We start from the raw sequence: 18,370 nt of genomic DNA on the forward strand, positions 1-18,370 counted from the left end.
TGGATAGAGTGACATGATAAGCAATGGCAAGTGGCATTCTTGGAGCTGAGAGCCTCAGTCTTAGAGCTGCAAAGAAATACCTTTTTGCCAATTTTGAAGAAGTCCTTGAGCCCCAGATGAGATCACAAGCCTAGTTGAAATCTTGATTTCAGTCTTTCAAGACCTTAAGCCAAGGACCCTGCTAAACTATGTACAGACCCCTGACTCATGGCAACTGTGGGATGATAAATGTGTACTGTTTTAAGCTGCTTAAATTTGGAGTAATTTGTTATGCATATATTGAAAATTAATACACCCTTGGAGTTTCATACCTTAATGAAAGAACAAACTGCTAAGAAGCATAGAAAACGTGCAGGAATCTCACGCGAGAGAAGTAGTAGTCAGGAGTTGCCAACAGATAAAGGGCAGAGACCCCTGTACCTCTTCCTTCTCTAGAAAGGAAACAAAATATAAAGCTTACTTGGATTGCTCTTCAAAAAAGAAAATGGGCTGACAGCCTAGAGATGTCCTGTTTCTCCTCTCACCCTGGATTTTTAAGCCTTTTTTCAGAGGTCTGGTTATAGAGAGAATCTATCCAACTATTCATACTGAGTCACAGGCCTTCATGTGTTTTCATTTTCATTTTTCTGGCCTTGACAGATGCCCCCAGATAACATGGAAGGAAGAAGGTAAACTGATTCCAAGACCAAAAAACATTCTTGGTTTAAGAACACAAAAACCAGATTATGGAAAATTTTGTGGTTTGTGAAGTTGGGAAATTTGGAAAAATATGTACCTCTCCAAGTTACGCTCGGTGAAGAATGTTTAAGAGGTCAGTGCCACTTCAACTGGACTTCCCTAAGTTCTCCAGAATTTAGGGTCCCATCTTGCCTCTAGTAACCTAAAATATGAGTCAAGTCTGCATCTCACAGAACTATAAGAAGTCTCACATCATCCACAAATACAGGACTCTAAATATTTACATTCACCATATCATCTTTGGTCCTCAAATTGACTCCCCTTTGTGGTCATTGTCCATCATTCTTTATTTCCAGTAGGAATATTAACAGGAAAAACAGAGTAGACAAGAAATTTCTCCAGTATCTATAGACATTTCAGATCTGAAAGAGCTGGTAGGTAGAGAATTTGACATCGGCCCTTCCCACCCATCCCCACTCAACCCTTCTTTACATTCTACATATAAGCATAGCTTATTCATCTAATTTGTTAGGAACAGGGATGGATATTTTCATTAAGAAAGATAAAACACGGCAAAAACTGGATTTATCTTTATCCATCATCAAATACATAAGTAATGGCATGATGATGGTGGTTTCAATAACTAATACCTAGGTATAGCTTTCATCACTGACTGTAAAAGGAAAGAAGGCAGGGTTGAAGGCAGGCCTCCCTCTCTAGCAACGCAGAGAAAGGTGGGGTTTTCCTATTTTTTGAGATGAGGACTGCTACTTAATGTCAACCAACAACTAGAACGTATTGCTGGTTTTAACCCTCATAATAATGTAACCATGTAAAAATGGGGATATACTTTAGCCTCAAACCTGGATGTGGTCCAGTAAATGAAAATAATTTAAGTATCTATATGTACGTACAAAAATTTAAACCTGCTATCTAATTTTATACCCAGTGGCTCAACCTCAAGGAGACATTAGTAGACAAACATAACCAGACATCGTGATGTCCTCTGATGAGGGCTGAAGATCCTGGATGCAAGTGCACTGGATTCCAATCCAGATCCTTTTCACCCTTCCGACGTGAATACTTGTGTGTTTTGTCAGAGCCTCTTTGTTTTGTGAGCAGGGCCATTATCAAAGCTCTACATAAGGAACTGTGAGCTGTGAGCTGAATCAAATGTTTAATACATTCTAGTGCTGGATTTAGAAGAAAAGAAACTAAGGGAGGGCAGTGAGTTGATGTAAAAAAGGGGACACTGTAGAGTGGCTGCCTGGGCTCAAATACAAGCTCTGCTTCTTGATAGCTGTGTGATCATAAGGCATTTATTAAAATTATTTTTCTTGTCTTATTAGTAAAATGAGAGTGGATATAACAGCTCCTACTTCATAAGGTTCTTGTAAAGATTCACTGAATTCCTGTGCATTAAGAGCTTAGAATTCATCACATAAACAGAATAAAAACAAAAACTACATGAACGCTTCTACACTGCTGGTGGGAGTGTAAATTAGTTCAACCATTGTGGAAGACAGTGTGGCAATTCCTCAAAGACCTAGAACCAGAAATAGCATTTGACCCAGCAATCCCATTACTGGGTATATACCCAAAGGATTATCAACTGTTCTATTATAAAGATACATGCACGAGTATGTTCACTGCAGCACTAGTCACAATGGCAAAGACATGGAATTCACCTAAATGCCCATAAATGGTAGACTGGATAAAGAAAATGTGGTACATATGCACCATGAAATACTATGCAGCCATAAAAAAAGAATGAGATCATGTCCTTTACAGGGAAATAGATGGAACTGGAGACCATTACCTTCAGTAAACTAGCACAGGACCAGAAAACCAAATATGGCATGTTCTCATGCATAAGTAAGTGGGAGCTAAATGATGAGAACACATGGACACATAGAGGGGAACAACACACACTGGGACCTATCAAAGGGTGGAAGGTGGGAGGAAGGGTAGGATCGGGAAAAATAACTAATGGATACTAGGCTTAATACCTGGGTGATAAAATAATCTGTACAACAAACCTGCATGACACATGTTTACCTATATAACAAACCTGCACATCCTGCATATGTACAACTGAATTTAAAATAAAAGTTAAAAAAAAGACCAGAAAAGACCAGAAATAATTACCAAAAAAAAAAAAAAAAGGAGCTTTAATACCTGGGAGAAAAAAAATACTTTGGTCTTTAGTAGGGTAAGGATCTGAGAAGGGAGGGAACTGATGGATGCCTAAGGGGAAAATCTTAAAAATGAAGAGGAATGTCGATAGGTGGTAAGTTAAGAGATTTGCAGGCTACGGTTGGGAATAGGTTCTTACAAAAGAAAAAACACTTTATAGGTGACAGGAACACCATGAAGACAGTGAAAGGCTTGTTACCATTTTGGTCAAGCAACTTTGGCAAAAGGGATCTGAATCTCAGAAGAAACTCAATGGGAAGTTTTTCCTCAGACTTTCAGTTTCTAGGTCTTACGTCTGATAATTAATTTAGAGAATTAACTGAGCTAGTCCAGAACAGGGAGGGTGTCAGTAGAAATGTCTGCATTCTAGGGAAAGTATTATACTGCTTGCAACTTAACACGCCCCGTGTATCCACCATGCCATGTCATATGATGTATATATCATGTGTTACTCCACTCACAGAGGTGTCAATCATATCTAATTACACATGATTGCCTCCCTCTTGAGAAGAGTACCACATGAAGAATAGAACACTTAAGGATGGCAGCCCAGCCTAATGACTGACTCATGCACCTTTCTTTTTATATTTTAAAAATATGTAATTGACAAACAAAATTTGTATATATTCAAGGTGTGCAATGTGATTTGATATGTATATACATCGCGTACTGATTACCATAGTAAAATTAACTAACACATCATTCACCGCTCTTAGTTACCATTTGTGTGTGTGTTGTGGGGGTGTGGTGAGGACACTTAAAATCTGCTCTCTTATCAAATTTCCAGTAAACAATTACAGCATTATTATCACTATGCTATACATTAGATAGCCAGAGCTTATCTATTACGTAACTCAAAGTTTGTACTCTTTGACCAACATGCATCTTTCAAAAACACATCATTGTTTTCAATCTGATTGGTGACTGGTGTTCATACAAAGGGCCTCTGTAGCATGCACTACACTGTCTTTCTTCATCCATCCTTTCCTGTGTTGTCCAATCATGGTTTGGAGTTATGACATGGCAATTTTCAGAACTATGAACCATTAAGCTTTTCTGCTAGACTCTCTTGTGCACGGAAGAAAAATCCTTGCATGTCTTATCCTGTTTATTTTTTCCATTATTATAAAGTGTTAGAAAGCAGTTTACATTCCTCAGGTCTAATAGTTAACAGGAAAATATACTCTATGTCATCTATGCTCGTCACCTGAAGATGAGTCCCTCTACCTGAGTTACATCCCTCAACTCCTGAACCACAGAATAAGCAGGGAAAACACACAAGATTCTAGGATAGGATGGTAATCACTGATGTGATGGAGAGTAGAAATGTCTGTTTCTCCTTAAATCCTAGAGCAAAAATAAAAATATTTTACTTACCAGGAATGAACTGCAAAACAGAAAATGTTCTTGGCATCTATGGATGCCATTAAACTTCTTCCAGTTTGTGAGATTTCTGAGTCTTTCCCTCGAGCGTGGTCTTTTCAAGCATTTTTGTTTGCATTTTTCTCCATTTGGAAACATGCAACTATGTGTCTTCATTTTCCTGGATGAACTAAATCTGGGACACCAAAATATAGTAACACAAATATGGTAAATGGATGTCAGAGAACTGGGATGGAAGAAAGAGGTGATTGTAAGTAGCCTAAAATGTGAAGTTGCTACCAGTCAAAAATTATGGTATCTTAATGGAAGAAACAAGTTCCCAGCCTTTCTCATGCACCCTACCCTTAATTTTGTGTTGCTGTGGCTAAGCAACAGGTACAGATGTTAGGGGCACTGTTCGTACACTCAGCTCACTTTCGTAGGGTGTAGGCTTTAGTGTGGTTTTGGCAGGTTGAGAATATGGGGTCTCTGATCATCATCACCCCAGAATAATCATAAAACAGAGTTTCAACCCTGGAATGAGCAGGCTGAGAAGACCAAAATCTACGACTACCAATCTTCACTCTGTACATAAAGCAGGAGTGTTGTGAAAGAAGCAGGTCGCTGCACCTTCCCAAAGCTTGAGAGCAGTGAGTCAGAGATTCTTTTTCCCAGTGTGAGAAGTGAGTTTGAATAAAAGATGGTATTATAGCTCTCCTAAAAAAAAAAATAGGACTTTATTTATAGCAGAGTCAGGGAAAGCTCAGGCTTAACGATGCTCCAGGTAACAACACAGATTTTGGAGGTAAGTAAGTAAGATGGATTTGGTAGCTGTATGAGAGCAACAAGCTAAACCACAGGCCAGCTTATTTACCAGAGTATCCGATAAACTGACAGCTAATAAGAGCCTTCCTGTATCAGAACAAACCTGAAAGACTTGCCTTTAAAACAACGTGTTCCAAGTGGCTTAAATTATTTTGATCAAACTCTGATACGTTTTTCCCTTAAAATTCAAAAAAAACGATAGAGAAAGTCAGCATTCAGTGAGAAAACCTAACATCTCTGTGTGATACACAGAGACCACTAGCTGGACAGAGAGATCAGGAAAAGAAACAAAAAGAATGCTACTAAAATCACTGTCATCTTAGAGTTACTATGTGCATACAAAGGCTGTGCTCTCTAAAGAACAGTATAAGAAAATTCACAGCAGATAAGTAAATAAACTCCAGCCAATTCAATAAACAAATTAAAAACAGACAACAACAACAACAGTAAAAGCCAGGTGCGGTGGCTCACGTCTGTAAAGCCCAGCACTTTGGGAGGCTGAGGTGGGTAGATCACCAGGTCAGGAGATTGAGACCATCCTGGCCAACATGGTGAAACCCCGTCTCTACTAAAAATACAAAAATTAGCTGGGCGCGGTGGCGGGCGCCTGTAGTCCCAGGTACTCAGGAGGCTGAGGCAGGAGAATCGCTTGAACCCAGGAGGCAGAGGTCGCAGTGAGCCGCGATCACGCCACTGCACTCCAACCTGGGTGATAGAGCGAGACTCCATCTCAAAAACAAAACAAAGAAACAAAAAAAATATAATTCCTCAGAGGAAGTGGTTATTATCCAGAATACAATATTTGATCTTAACTATCCTGTTTTACAGAAAATCATAATATGTACAAAAAAAAGATAGTGTAGTCTTTACAGATAACAAAAATATATGACAGAAAATGCCCATGAGAGGGCACAGAAATCATGCTAACAGTTAAAGACTTTATCGCAACAATTAAAGATTTCAAAGAAATAAAAAAAATTTAGATGTAAAGGAAGTTATGATGGCAATGTCTCATCTAAAGTTTATAATAATAAAAATGTAGAAAACACTTTTTTTTTTTTTGAGACGGTGTCTCCTCTGTCACCCAGGCTGGAGCGCAATGGTACGATCTTGACTCACTACAACCTCCACCTCCCAGGTTCAAGTGATTCTCCTGCCTCAGCCTCCCAAGTAGAGAGGACTACAGGCACCTACCATCATGCCCGGCTAATTTTTGTATTTTTGTAGATATGGGGTTTCACTATGTTGGCCAGGCTGGTCTTGAACTCCTGACCTCAGATGATCTGCCTGTCTCAGCCTCCCAAAGTGCTGGGGAAAACACTTATTAAAAAAGGAAAATATGGATTTTAAAAGTACAATAACTTAAATATAAAAGTTCAATAGAGAATCTCAACAGTATATTTCAACTATCAGAATAAATAATACATCGCACATTAATAGTACTAATGCCTTATGAAGAACGCAGAGTAAAATGAATGAGGAAAAATGAACAGAGCATCAAGGAAGTAAAACACCAGAAAGGGCAAAAGATTTGCATTATGGAATTACCAGAATAAGAAGAGAGAGAAAAGGAAAAAAGAAACCTGCTCAAATATTCTTCGGAAGGAACACTTCCTAAATTTGATGAAAAATGTTACACATCCAAGAGGTAAAACAAATTTCAAGTAGAACAAATACAAAGAAACTCAGATTAACAGACATTACATGCAATCTGTTGATACCTATGGAAAATAGTTAATATTGACTGCTGCAGGAGAAAAGCGACTCATTGCATACGGGGATTTTTGTAAGATTAATAGCTGACTTTTCATAAGAAAGTATACAGACCAGAAAGCAGTGGGAGGTGACATTCAACATGCTAAAAGAAAAACATAGTCAAACAAGAATAATATAAGGCTAACAGCTGTTCACTATAGCACTAAAAGTACAACTCATAACATAAATATATCAATAAATTGCACTTTATTAAAATTGTAAACACTTGCTTTGTATGAAACAGTTAAGAGAATGAAAAGACAGATTGTGGACTGAGATACGCATGCAAATCACATTTTTCAAGGAGTTGTATTCAGAACATATAAGAACTCTTAAATATCATTAATAATAACTCAGCGCAATAAAATTTGTAAAAATTCCTCAATGGATACTTCATTAAGAAGATGTATGAATAGCAAATAAATATATTAAGAGACACTCAATACTTGTAGTCAATATGAATGTACGAATTAAAACTACAATGACAAAAATCTATACAAATATTACAGTGGCTAATAAAAACACAAAACAACACAAAAATTGCCAATAAAATACACTGATAAGAATATGAGTAACTGGAGATGTTAGACATTTTTCATGGCAGCAAAAAAGTTTAAAGCAGTTCTGGAATAAGTTATTTTTCTATTGCTTTTAAATTTAAAATTACATTTACCATAAGACCTACAAGTTTACACAAGTAAAATAAAACTTGTGTTTACACACATATCTGTATGCAACTGTGTACGGTACAATTATTGAAAAAAAAAAAAACCAACTTGAAAAAAAAAAACAAGATTGTCCATCACCTGACTTGTACCCAACTCAGTAATAAAAACAACACTGAAGCAATTGAGTCTTGTCTGCTTTTCTTGCATTCTCTCTCCCTGTCTCTGTTTCTCTCTCTGTGTGTGTCTTTTTTTCACACTCACTCTCTCACTCATCACAGTGTTAGGAAGTGACACCACATGAAAAATAAAAGGAAAACGAAAGACATGTAAGTTAAAATAAATAGTAATAGCAAAACAAAATGAAATAAATCAAAGAGTACAAGTTTCTGTGTGCTCTGCACAACCTCTTATAAATTGGTGGCTTATAAAGGATTCAAATGCTTTTCAAAGAATGAGTACCTCTTCAGCCAATGAAGAAAAAAATGAGCTTTCATATTTGAGACAGAAAATATGTTGTCAGCAGGTTGGGATCTGAGTAGTAGGAGGGGATTTGGAAAGGCCTAAAAAGAAGGCTTGAAAACGAGGAGGAGGGAATAATAAATAATAACTTGTAAACTGATATAAGCATCAAGAAAGAAAAAGGTTCTGTAAAAACTTAATACTCTGCAGCAGAGAATAAAAACATAGCCACACTGAAAACCTGGTTTTCATTTTTGTCAGGCAACTTTGTAAAAATAGGTATCAATCCCAGGAAAAGATATCCCAGGAAAAAATAAAAACAAGAAAAGGCGTTTTTCCAGGACCTTTAGTTCCTAGGACTTACCTCTGCAAATTTACATAAGATGATTCCATGAGATAGTCCAGCAGGGTGGCGGAGGTGTGTGAACAGCATAGATGTACTCTATGGAAAACAGCTCTCTGCATGCAACTAATCTTCCCTCAAGTGCACCCATAGTTATATTACATATGCTGCATATGTCACGTGTTACACCACTCGTAGAGGTTTCAATCATATGTCATTACCATATGTGATTGCTACTCTCTCGAGTAAGGCCCCGCAGACAGCATGTCTAAGGATGGAAGCCCTGCTTAAACACCCATTCATGTACCTTTTAAAAAGCTACGCAATGTTTTCAGGCTGTGAGTGGCTACCAGTATTTGTTCAAAGTACCTCTACAGTGAACACTCCACTGTTTTTTTTCCTCATCCATTCTTCCCTGAAGTGCTGTCCACTTGTGTGTTGAAGTTTTCACATGGTAGTTTTCAGAACTGAGGAGCAATAAGCCTCTTTGTTTGGTTGTTTGAGACGGAGTCTCACTCTGTTGCCCAGGCTGGAATGTGGTGGTGCAATCTTGGCCCACAGCAACCTCCGCCTCCCAGGTTCAAGCAATTCTCCTGCCTCAGCCTCCCGAGTGGCTGGGATTACAGGTGCCCACCACCACACCCAGCTAATTTTTGTATTTTTAGTAGAGACGGGGTTTCACTATGTTGGCTAGGCTGGTGTCCAACTCCTGACCTCAAGTGATCTCCCGCCTTTGCCTCCCAAAGTGCTGGGATCATTAAGCCTTTCTCTTATGTTCTCTTGCATATATAAGACGTACCCCTGTGTGTCTTGTCCTGGTTTTTTTTATCCATTATTATATATAAAGCATTAACAAATCATTTGTCTTCTTTAGACCCAATAATTAAGCAGTAAATACACTCCATCTCACCACTCTTGCCTTGTCACCCAAAGATCTGAGTCCTTTTATCTGAGTTATGTTCCTCAATTTCTGAATCACAGAATGAGCAGATAAAAAAGACCAGATTGGCCAGGCGAAGTGGCTCATGCCTGTAATCCCAGCACTTTGGGAGGCCGAGGTGGGCGGATCACGTGGTCAGGAGATCGAGACCATCCTGGCTAACACGGTGAGACCCAGTCTCTACTAAAAATACAAAAAAATGAGCCGGGCGTGGTGGGGGGCACCTGTAGTCCCAGCTACTCAGGAAGCTGAGGCAGGAGAATGGTGTCAACCCAGGACATGGAGCTTGCAGTGAGCCGAGATCGTGCCACTGCACTCCAGCCTGGGTGACAGAGCGAGACTCGGTCTCAAAAAAAAAAAAAAAAAAAAAAATTAGTGTGATGGCAGCTACCTGTAGTCCCAGCTGCTGGGGAGGCTGAGGCAGGAGAATGGCATGAACCCAGGAGGTGGAGCTTGCAGTGAGCCAAGATCGCGCCACTGTACTCTAGCCTGGGTGACAGAGCAAGACTCCATCTCAAAAAAAATGAAAAAAAAAAAAAAAAAAAGACCAGATCAACTAAGTAAATAACAAGATAATAATCAGTAGGTTCAGTAGGTAGTGGAATGGAAGGAGTAAAAACTCATTTTTCTTTCCAGACTCCGTAATCGAAAAAGCTCATTTTACATACCAGCAGTGATCAACGAGACAGAAAATGGTCTTGGTATCTTGGGATGTTCTTATATTTCTTTTTGTTCCTGAGTTTTCTGAGCATTTTCCTGGAACAAGATAGTTTAAAGTTTTTTTTTTTTTTACACTTTTCCATTCAGTAACATAGCATGAGCATGGCCTCAGAAAGGTGAAACACCAGAGTCATACCAAAATATGCCTAATGGAAATAGCATTAGGACAGGAGAGAGAAAACCAGAAAAAAATAGTGTTGAAAGAAATAATGCTAAAAACTTCAAATTTCATAAAAAACATAAATGTACACATCAAAAAAGTGAGATAAGCATGAAGATATCCAGACTTAAAGACATTGTATTCAATCTGTTAATGGAGAGAGAGAGAGAGAAAGAGAATGTGTAAAAGAAAGAATACCTTTATAGCTGCAAGAGAAAGGGAGCATATTTCATACAAGTGATTCTTACAAGATTTAACACTGACTTCTTTTGAGAAACCATGGAAGCTGGAATCAGTTGTAGAACATATTCAAAATGCTGAAAGAAAAACACAGTTAACCATGAATCTCACATCTAAGTCTAAAAGTTGTTAGATACAGCATTAAAAGCATAATGCATACATTGAAAAACTGTTAAGTCGTACTTTATCAAAATTGAAAACATTTGCTCTGCACAAAATACTGTTGAAAATGAAAAAAACAAAACAGATTGAGAGATAATATATGTAAATCATAATTCTGGCCAAGAAATTGTATGCAGTATACCTATATATCTCTATCTATATGTATATAGTAAACCTCAAAGATAAGTGAACAACTCGGTAAAGGTGAGAAAAATCCCAAAGGCACTTCACCAAGGAAGATACATGAATGGTAAGTAAGTACATGTACAGGTGCTCAACATTTTCCGTCAGTAAGGTGATGCAAATTAAAACCACAACTGACAAGGGAACTATACACATATTAAAATTGCTAATAAAAACAAAACAAAGGCTTTTCAATACAAAATGCTGATAAGAAGTTGGGTAATTGGATCACTAATACATTGCTTAATGCAGCACAAAATGGTAAAACCATTCTGGAAATTATTTTTTAATTAATTTTAAATGTAAACTTACACTTGCCATGTGACCTTCAAATCCTACTAGTAGCAGTTTACACAAGGAAAATGAAACTTGTGTTCATATATACATCTGTATGCAAATATACAAAGTAGCTTTATTTTTAGCCATGAATAACTGGAATAAAACCTAGATGTCCACCTGTGACTTCTACCCTACTTGATTAAAAAAAAAAAAAAAACAGATTATTCTTGCTCTAATTCTGACTCTCATTCTCTCTCCTTTACCCATTTTCTGCTTCCATACACCCTCTCTCATCACTGAATGAGAAAGAAACAACATAAAGGAAGTAAATGAAAACCTAGAGATAAAAAATGTTTTTAAGTAAATGCAAAAAAATCAAACAATAAAAAATTCTCAGCATTATTCACAATTCCTGATATATGACTTACTAATAATAGATTAAAATATATTTACAAAAGAACGAATATGTACTTTATTAGCACATGAAGAAAGAGGACATTTTATATCTGAGATAGAATATATTTTGATTTTCAGAAGGTTAAGTGTTTAAGAAGCAGGAGGGAATTTTGGAAAGCTTAAGAAGACTTGAAAATGAGAAAGGAAGCTAACAGTTAACAGATTTGGATGTTGGAGTAGGCAATAGTTTCTGCAAAAAGAATAATACTCTTAAGGCAGAAAGAAACTGTAAAATGGCAAGATAAACCTTGGTTCAATCAGGCAACATCATAGAAATGGAAATCAATCTCAGAAGAACTCAATGGGAGGCTTGTTGCAAGGACCTTAAATTCCTAGATCACGTGTCTGGTGGTCAGGCACCTGAGAGAGTTTTCTGAGGTAGTCCAGCATGGAAGTGGAGGGTTTGTGAGGGTAAAATACCTGCACTGTAAGGAAAGCATCCCTCTGCATGCAACTAAATGCCTCCAACACACACACAGTGTCATCATGTATGTTGCACGTGTCATGCAGTACTCTACCCACAGACGTACCAATCATTTTTAATTATACATGATTGCCACTGTCTGCAGTAGGGTACCACACACAGCATGTCTGAGGATGGCAGCCTTGCCTTAATACCCACCCATTCACCTTTAAAACAACCATTCAATATTTACAAGCTGTGCGTGGCCATTGGAATTTGGACGAAGGACTTCTGCAGAATTCAATCCACTATCTTTCCTTATATTTCCCGCTTTGAGTCCTGTCCACTCCCACGTTGCATCTTTCACATGACAGTTTTCAGAACTGAGAAATATTAAACATTTCTGTTAGGTTCTGTTACTCACAGAAGAAATATCCTTGCATGTCTTATCCTGTTCCTTATAATAGATTAAAATGTATTTACAAAAGAACGAATATGTACTTTATTAGCACATGAAGAAAGAGGACTTTGTATATCTGAGATAGAAAATATTTTGATTTTCAGAAAAGTTAAGTGTTTAAGAAGCAGGAGAGAATTTTGGAAGGCTTAAGAAGACTTGAAAATGAGAAAGGAAGCTAACCATTAATAGATTTGGATGTTGGAGCAGGAAACAGTTTCTGCAAAATGAATAATACTCTTAAGGCGTAAAGAAACTGTATAATGGCACAATAAACCTTGATTCAATCAGGCAGCATCATAGAAATGGAAATCAATCTCAGAAAAACTCAATGGGAGGCTTGTTGCAAGGACCTTAAATTCCTAGACCATGTGTCTGATTAGGCACCTAAGAGAGTTTTTTGAGGTAGTCCAGCATGGAAGTGGAGGGTTTGTGAGGGTAAAATACCTGCACTATAGGGAAAGCATCCCTCTGCATGCAACTAAATGCCTCCAACACACACACAGTGTCATCATGTATGTTGCACGTGTCATGCAGTACTCTACCCACAGACGTACCAATCATTTTTAATTATACATGATTGCCACGTCTGCAGTAGGGTACCACACACAGCATGTCTGAGGATGGCAGCCTTGCCTTAATACCCACCCATTCACCTTTGAAACAACCATTCAATATTTACAACCTGTGAGTGACCATTGGAATTTGGACAAAGGACTTCTGTAGAATCCAATCCACTATCTTTCCTTATGTTTCCTGCTTTGAGTGCTGTCCACTCCCATGTTGCAGCTTTCACATGACAGTTTTCAGAACTGAGAAATATTAAACATTTCTGCTAGGTCCTGTTACTCACAGAAGAAATATCCTTGCATGTCTTATCCTGTTCCTTATAATAGATTAAAATATATTTACAAAAGAACGAATATGTACTTTATTAGCACATGAAGAAAGAGGACTTTGTATATCTGAGACAGAAAATATTTTGATTTTCAGAAAGTTAAGTGTTTAAGAAGCAGGAGGGAATTTTGGAAGGCTTAAGAAGACTTGAAAATTAGAAAGGAAGCTAACCGTTAATAGATTTGGATGTTGGAGAAGGAAATAGTTTCTGCAAAATGAATAATACTCTTAAGGCAGAAAGAAACTGTAAAATGGCAAGATAAACCTTGGTTCAATCAGGCAACATCATAGAAATGGAAGTCAATCTCAGAAGAACTCAATGGGAGGCTTGTTGCAAGGACCTTAAATTCCTAGATCACGTGTCTGGTGGTCAGGCACCTGAGAGAGTTTTCTGAGGTAGTCCAGCATGGAAGTGGAGGGTTTGTGAGGGTAAAATACCTGCACTGTAAGGAAAGCATCCCTCTGCATGCAACTAAATGCCTCCAACACACACACAGTGTCATCATGTATGTTGCATGTGTCATGCAGTACTCTACCCACAGACGTACCAATCATTTTTAATTATACATGATTGCCACTGTCTGCAGTAGGGTACCACACACAGCATGTCTGAGGATGGCAGCCTTGCCTTAATACCCACCCATTCACCTTTAAAACAGCCATTCAATATTTACAAGTTGTGGGTGGCCATTGGAATTTGGACAAAGGACTTCTGCAGAATCCAATCCACTATCTTTCCTTATGTTTCCTGCTTTGAGTGCTGTCCACTCCCATGTTGCAGCTTTCACGTGACAGTTTTCAGAACTGAGAAATATTAAACATTTCTGTTAGGTTCTGTTACTCACAGAAGAAATATCCTTGCATGTCTTATCCTGTTCCTTTTCACATTGCTACTTGCAAAGCATTAACTACCAGTTTGCATTCTCCATATCCATTAATTAAGTAGTAAATAATCCTCCATCTCATCAATCTCATATGATAAGGTTTGGCTCTGTGTCCCCACCTAAATTTCATCTTGTAGCTCCCATGATTCCCATATGCTGTGGGAGGGACCCAGTGGAAGATGATTGAATCATGGGGGCAGGTCTTTCCTCTGCTGTTCTCATAATAGTGACTAAGTCTCATGAGATCTGATGGTTTTAAATATGGGAGTTTTCCTGCACAAGCTCTCTATCTTTGCCTGTCGCCATCCATGTAAGATGTGACATGCTCCTCCTTGCCTTCTAACATGATTGTGAGGCTTCCCCAGCCACATGGAACTATGAATTCTCCATTAAACCTCTTTCCTTTGTAAATTGCCCAGTCTTGGGTACGTCTTTATCAGCAATGTGAAAATGGGCTAATACAGTAAATTGGTACCAGTAGAGTGGGACACTGCTGAAAAGATACCTGAAAATATGGAAGCGACTTTCGAACTGGGTAACAGGCACGGGATGAAACACTTTGGAGAGCTCAGAAGAAGACAGGAAAATGTAGGAAAGTTTGGAACTCCCTAGAGACTTGACTTGTTGAATGGCTTTGCCCAAAATGCTGATAATGATATGGACAATGAAATCCAGGTTAAGGTAGTCTCAGATGGAGATGAGGAACTTGTTAGAAACTGCAGCAAAGGTGACTCTTTATGTTTTAGCAAAGAGACTGGCAGCATCTTGCCCCTGCCCTAGAGATCTGTGGAACTTTGAACTTGAGAGAGATGATTTAGGGTACCTGGCAGAAGAAATTTCTAAGCAGCAAAGCATTCAAGAGGTAACTTGCATGCAGTTAAAGGCATTCCATTTTATAAGGGAGGCAGAGCATAAAAGATTGGAAAATGTGCAGCCTGACAATGCTATAGAAAAGAAAAACCCACTTTCTGAGGAAAATCCAAGCCAGCTGTAGAAATTTGCATAAGTAATGAAGAGCCAAATGTTAGTCCCCAAGACAATGGGGAAAGTATCTCCATGGCATGTTAGAGGTCTTCGTGGCAGCCCCTCCCATCACAGGCCTGGAGGCCTAGGGGGATAATGTTGCTTTGAGGGCCAGGCCCAGGGTTCCTGTGCCGTGTGTAGTCTAGGGACTTGGTGCCCTGTGTCCCATCCACTCCAACTGTGGCTAAAAGGGGTCAAGGTATAGCTCAGGCTGTGGCTTTGGAGGGTACAAGCCCCAAGCCTTGGCAGCTTCCATAAGCTGTTGAGCCTGTGGGTTCACAGAAGTCAAGAACTGAGGTTTCGGAACCTCCACCTAGATTTCAGAGGATGAATAGAAATGCCTGGATCTCCAGGCAGAAGTTTGCTGGAGAGGCAAGGATCTCACGGAGAACCTCTGCTAGGACAGTGCAGAAGGAAAAGCTGAGATCACAGCCCCAACACAGAGTCCCTACTGAGGCACTGCCTAGTAGAGCTGTGAGAAGGCCACCATACGCCAGACCCCAGAATGGTAGATCCACTGACAGCTTGCACTGTGTGCCTACAAAAGCCACAGACACTCAACACTGGCCCATGAAGACAGCCAAGAAGGAGGCTGTACCCTGCAAAGCCACAGGGGAAGAGTTGCCCAAGACCTTGGGAACCTACCTTTTGCATCAGCATGACCTGGATGTGAGAAATGGAGTCAAAGGAGATCACTTTGGAGCTTTAAGATTTGACTGCCCCACCAGATTTTGGACTTGCATGGGACCTGTAGCCCGTTTGTTTTGGCCAATTTCTTCCATTTGGATTGGCTGTATCTTCCCAATGCCTGTACCCCCAACTATATCTAGGAAGTAACTAACCTGCTTTTGATTTTACAGGCTCTTAGGTTGAAGGGACTTGCCTTGTCTCAGACAAGACCTTGGATTGTGGACTTTTTAGTTAATGCTGAAATGAGTTAAGACTTTGGGGGACTGTTGGGAAGGAATGATTGTGTTTTGAAATATGAGAACATGAGATTTTGGAGGGGCCTGAGTGGAATGATATGGTTTGGCTCTGTGTCCCCACCCAGATCTCATCTTGTAGCTCCCCTGATTCCCATGTGTTGTGGGAGGGACCCGGTGGAAGATTGAATCATGGGGGCGGGTCTTCCCTGTGCTGTTCTTGTGATTGTGACTAAGTTTCACAAGATCTGATGGTTTTAAAAATGGGAGTATTCTAGTGCAAGCTCTCTCTCTCTTGGCCTGCCACCATCCTTGTAAGATGTGACTTGTTCCTCCTTGCCTTCTGCCATGATTGTGAGGTTCCCCCAGCCACATGGAACTGTGAGTTCTCCATTAAACCTCTTTCCTTTGTAAATTGCTTAGTCTTGGGTATGTCTTTATCAGCAGTGTGAAAACTGATTAATACACCATATCTGTCACCTGAAGATATGAGTCCCTCTAAGTCTTGAGTTATGCACCTCAACTACTGAGACACAGAATAAACAAGAAAAACACACATGATCCTGGAATTAAAGAATAGAATAATCAGTGAATGATGAGATAAAGAGAGCAGAAATTTCCTTTCTTCCTCAGCAAGTAATGTGTAAAAAGCCCATTTTACTTATCAGGAGTAATCTACAAGATTAAAACTATACCTGTTGCCTAAGGATGCCCTCAAATTCTTTCCTAGGTTTTCAGGGTCTTTTCTTGGAACAAGTTTGTTTTGAGCATGCTATTGTATTTTTCCATTCTGAGATATACTACATAGTGTATGCATCTCCGTGGAAAAACTGAACCTGGTACATCAAGCTATGGGTATATAAATATGATGAATGAATGCCAGAGGATGAGGATTGAGGAGTTTAGGTGACTGTGGCCTACAAAAGGAATTTCCTTCCAGCACCCAATAAGTGCTATGGTATATTCATGGAAGTCATAGGCTTTCGGCATTTCTCAACCATCCCACACACCCAGCTTAATGGCTCGGAGACAAAACACCATGTGTACGTGGTAAGAAGTCAGGGGCACTCTTCCAATGCTCAGACCACTATTCTAGAGTGTACTGCAGATGCAGCATATGAAAACGTGGTCTACAACCACTGATAAGCAACATGCTCATAAAGCAGAAGTGTCCCTGTGAGGGAAGGAAGCCACTGCCCTTAATGCCATCTCCGGCTCAGTGATTCTAAGATTTTGCCTAGTGTGAGATGCTGGCCTAATATAGAATATTAAAGCTCTCCCTAAAGTAGGGGTCCCCAACCCCCAGGCTGTGGACCAGTACCAGTCCATGACCTGTTAGGAACCAGGCCACACAGCAGGAGGTGAGTGGTGGGCAAGCAAGCCAGCATTACTGCCTGACCTCCACCTACTGTCAGTTCAGTGGTAGCATTAGATTCTCATAGAAGCAAGAACCCTATTGTGACCTGCCCACGTGAAAGATCTGGGTTGCACACTGCTTATGAGAATCTAATGCCTGATGATCTGAGATGAAACAGTCTCATCCCAAAACCATCCCCTCCAACCTGGTCTGTGGAAAAATTGTCTTCCATGAAACCAGTCCCTGGTGCCAGGAAGGTTGGCGACCACTGCCCTACAGAATCTGACTCTATTTGTAACAGAGTATGGGAAAGGTCAATCCTAATACATTCTCAAAAGCAATGTAGATTTTGGTGATTAGCAAATAAGATGATGCTCCCTGAGAGCAAGAAACCAGAGCGAACCAGGGAAAGAGATAAATAACGAAAGCCCTCTTGGTTTCCGTAAAAACTTAAAAACATTCCTCAAAAACTACCTATGGAAAAGCACCTAAATTATTTGAATAAAACTCTGGAACAGTTTTTGTCCATAGCGTTTAAGAAATATATAATAATTATCTAAAATTAGGGATCCTAAGGGCTCTGTGGAATCCACCCAAAGGCAGACAGCTTGACAAAGAGAGCAGGAACAAAAACAGTCAAAAAGAACCCCAATAAAACTGCTGTCTTTGGTTGGGCATGATGGCTCTCACCTATAATCCCAGTACATTGAGAGGCTGAGGTGGGAGGATTGCTTGAGGCTAGGAGTTCAAGACCAGCCTGGGCAACACAGTAAGGCCCCATCTCTACAAAATAAATACACACAAAAAAGCAAACGAAAAACCCCTGCTGTCTTCTTTGAATGACTAAGTGCATATTGAAGGCTATGCCCTACGAAGAGCAACATAAGAGGCTTCATGCTGCAGACAAATCTTTAATAGTACAGTATTTTAAATTTAATATGCCGTTAAACAAAAGACAAAAACAAAACAATCTCTAGGAGGGGAGAATATTATCTGGAAT

General features: G+C 39.4%; 1 long non-coding RNA gene and 4 other non-coding genes across 10 annotated transcripts in view; 1 reads left to right on the forward strand and 4 right to left on the reverse strand.

The window, feature by feature from the left end:
• LOC105373347 (periphilin-1) overlaps positions 1-18,370 on the forward strand; it is a 90,847-nt gene that overhangs the window by 65,786 nt on the left and 6,691 nt on the right. The window lies entirely within an intron of this gene.
• On the reverse strand, positions 3,317-3,396 carry MIR514B (microRNA 514b). Its single transcript, NR_036173.1, has one exon. It is a non-coding gene; the product is annotated as a microRNA 514b (primary transcript).
• MIR509-2 (microRNA 509-2) lies at positions 11,926-12,016 on the reverse strand. The gene has a single exon (NR_030586.1). It is a non-coding gene; the product is annotated as a microRNA 509-2 (primary transcript).
• MIR509-3 (microRNA 509-3) lies at positions 12,818-12,892 on the reverse strand. Its single transcript, NR_030629.1, has one exon. It is a non-coding gene; the product is annotated as a microRNA 509-3 (primary transcript).
• MIR509-1 (microRNA 509-1) lies at positions 13,698-13,791 on the reverse strand. Its single transcript, NR_030236.1, has one exon. It is a non-coding gene; the product is annotated as a microRNA 509-1 (primary transcript).

Source organism: Homo sapiens, chromosome X (genome assembly GCF_000001405.40).
Source record: "Homo sapiens chromosome X, GRCh38.p14 Primary Assembly".
Lineage (NCBI taxonomy): Eukaryota > Metazoa > Chordata > Mammalia > Primates > Hominidae > Homo > Homo sapiens.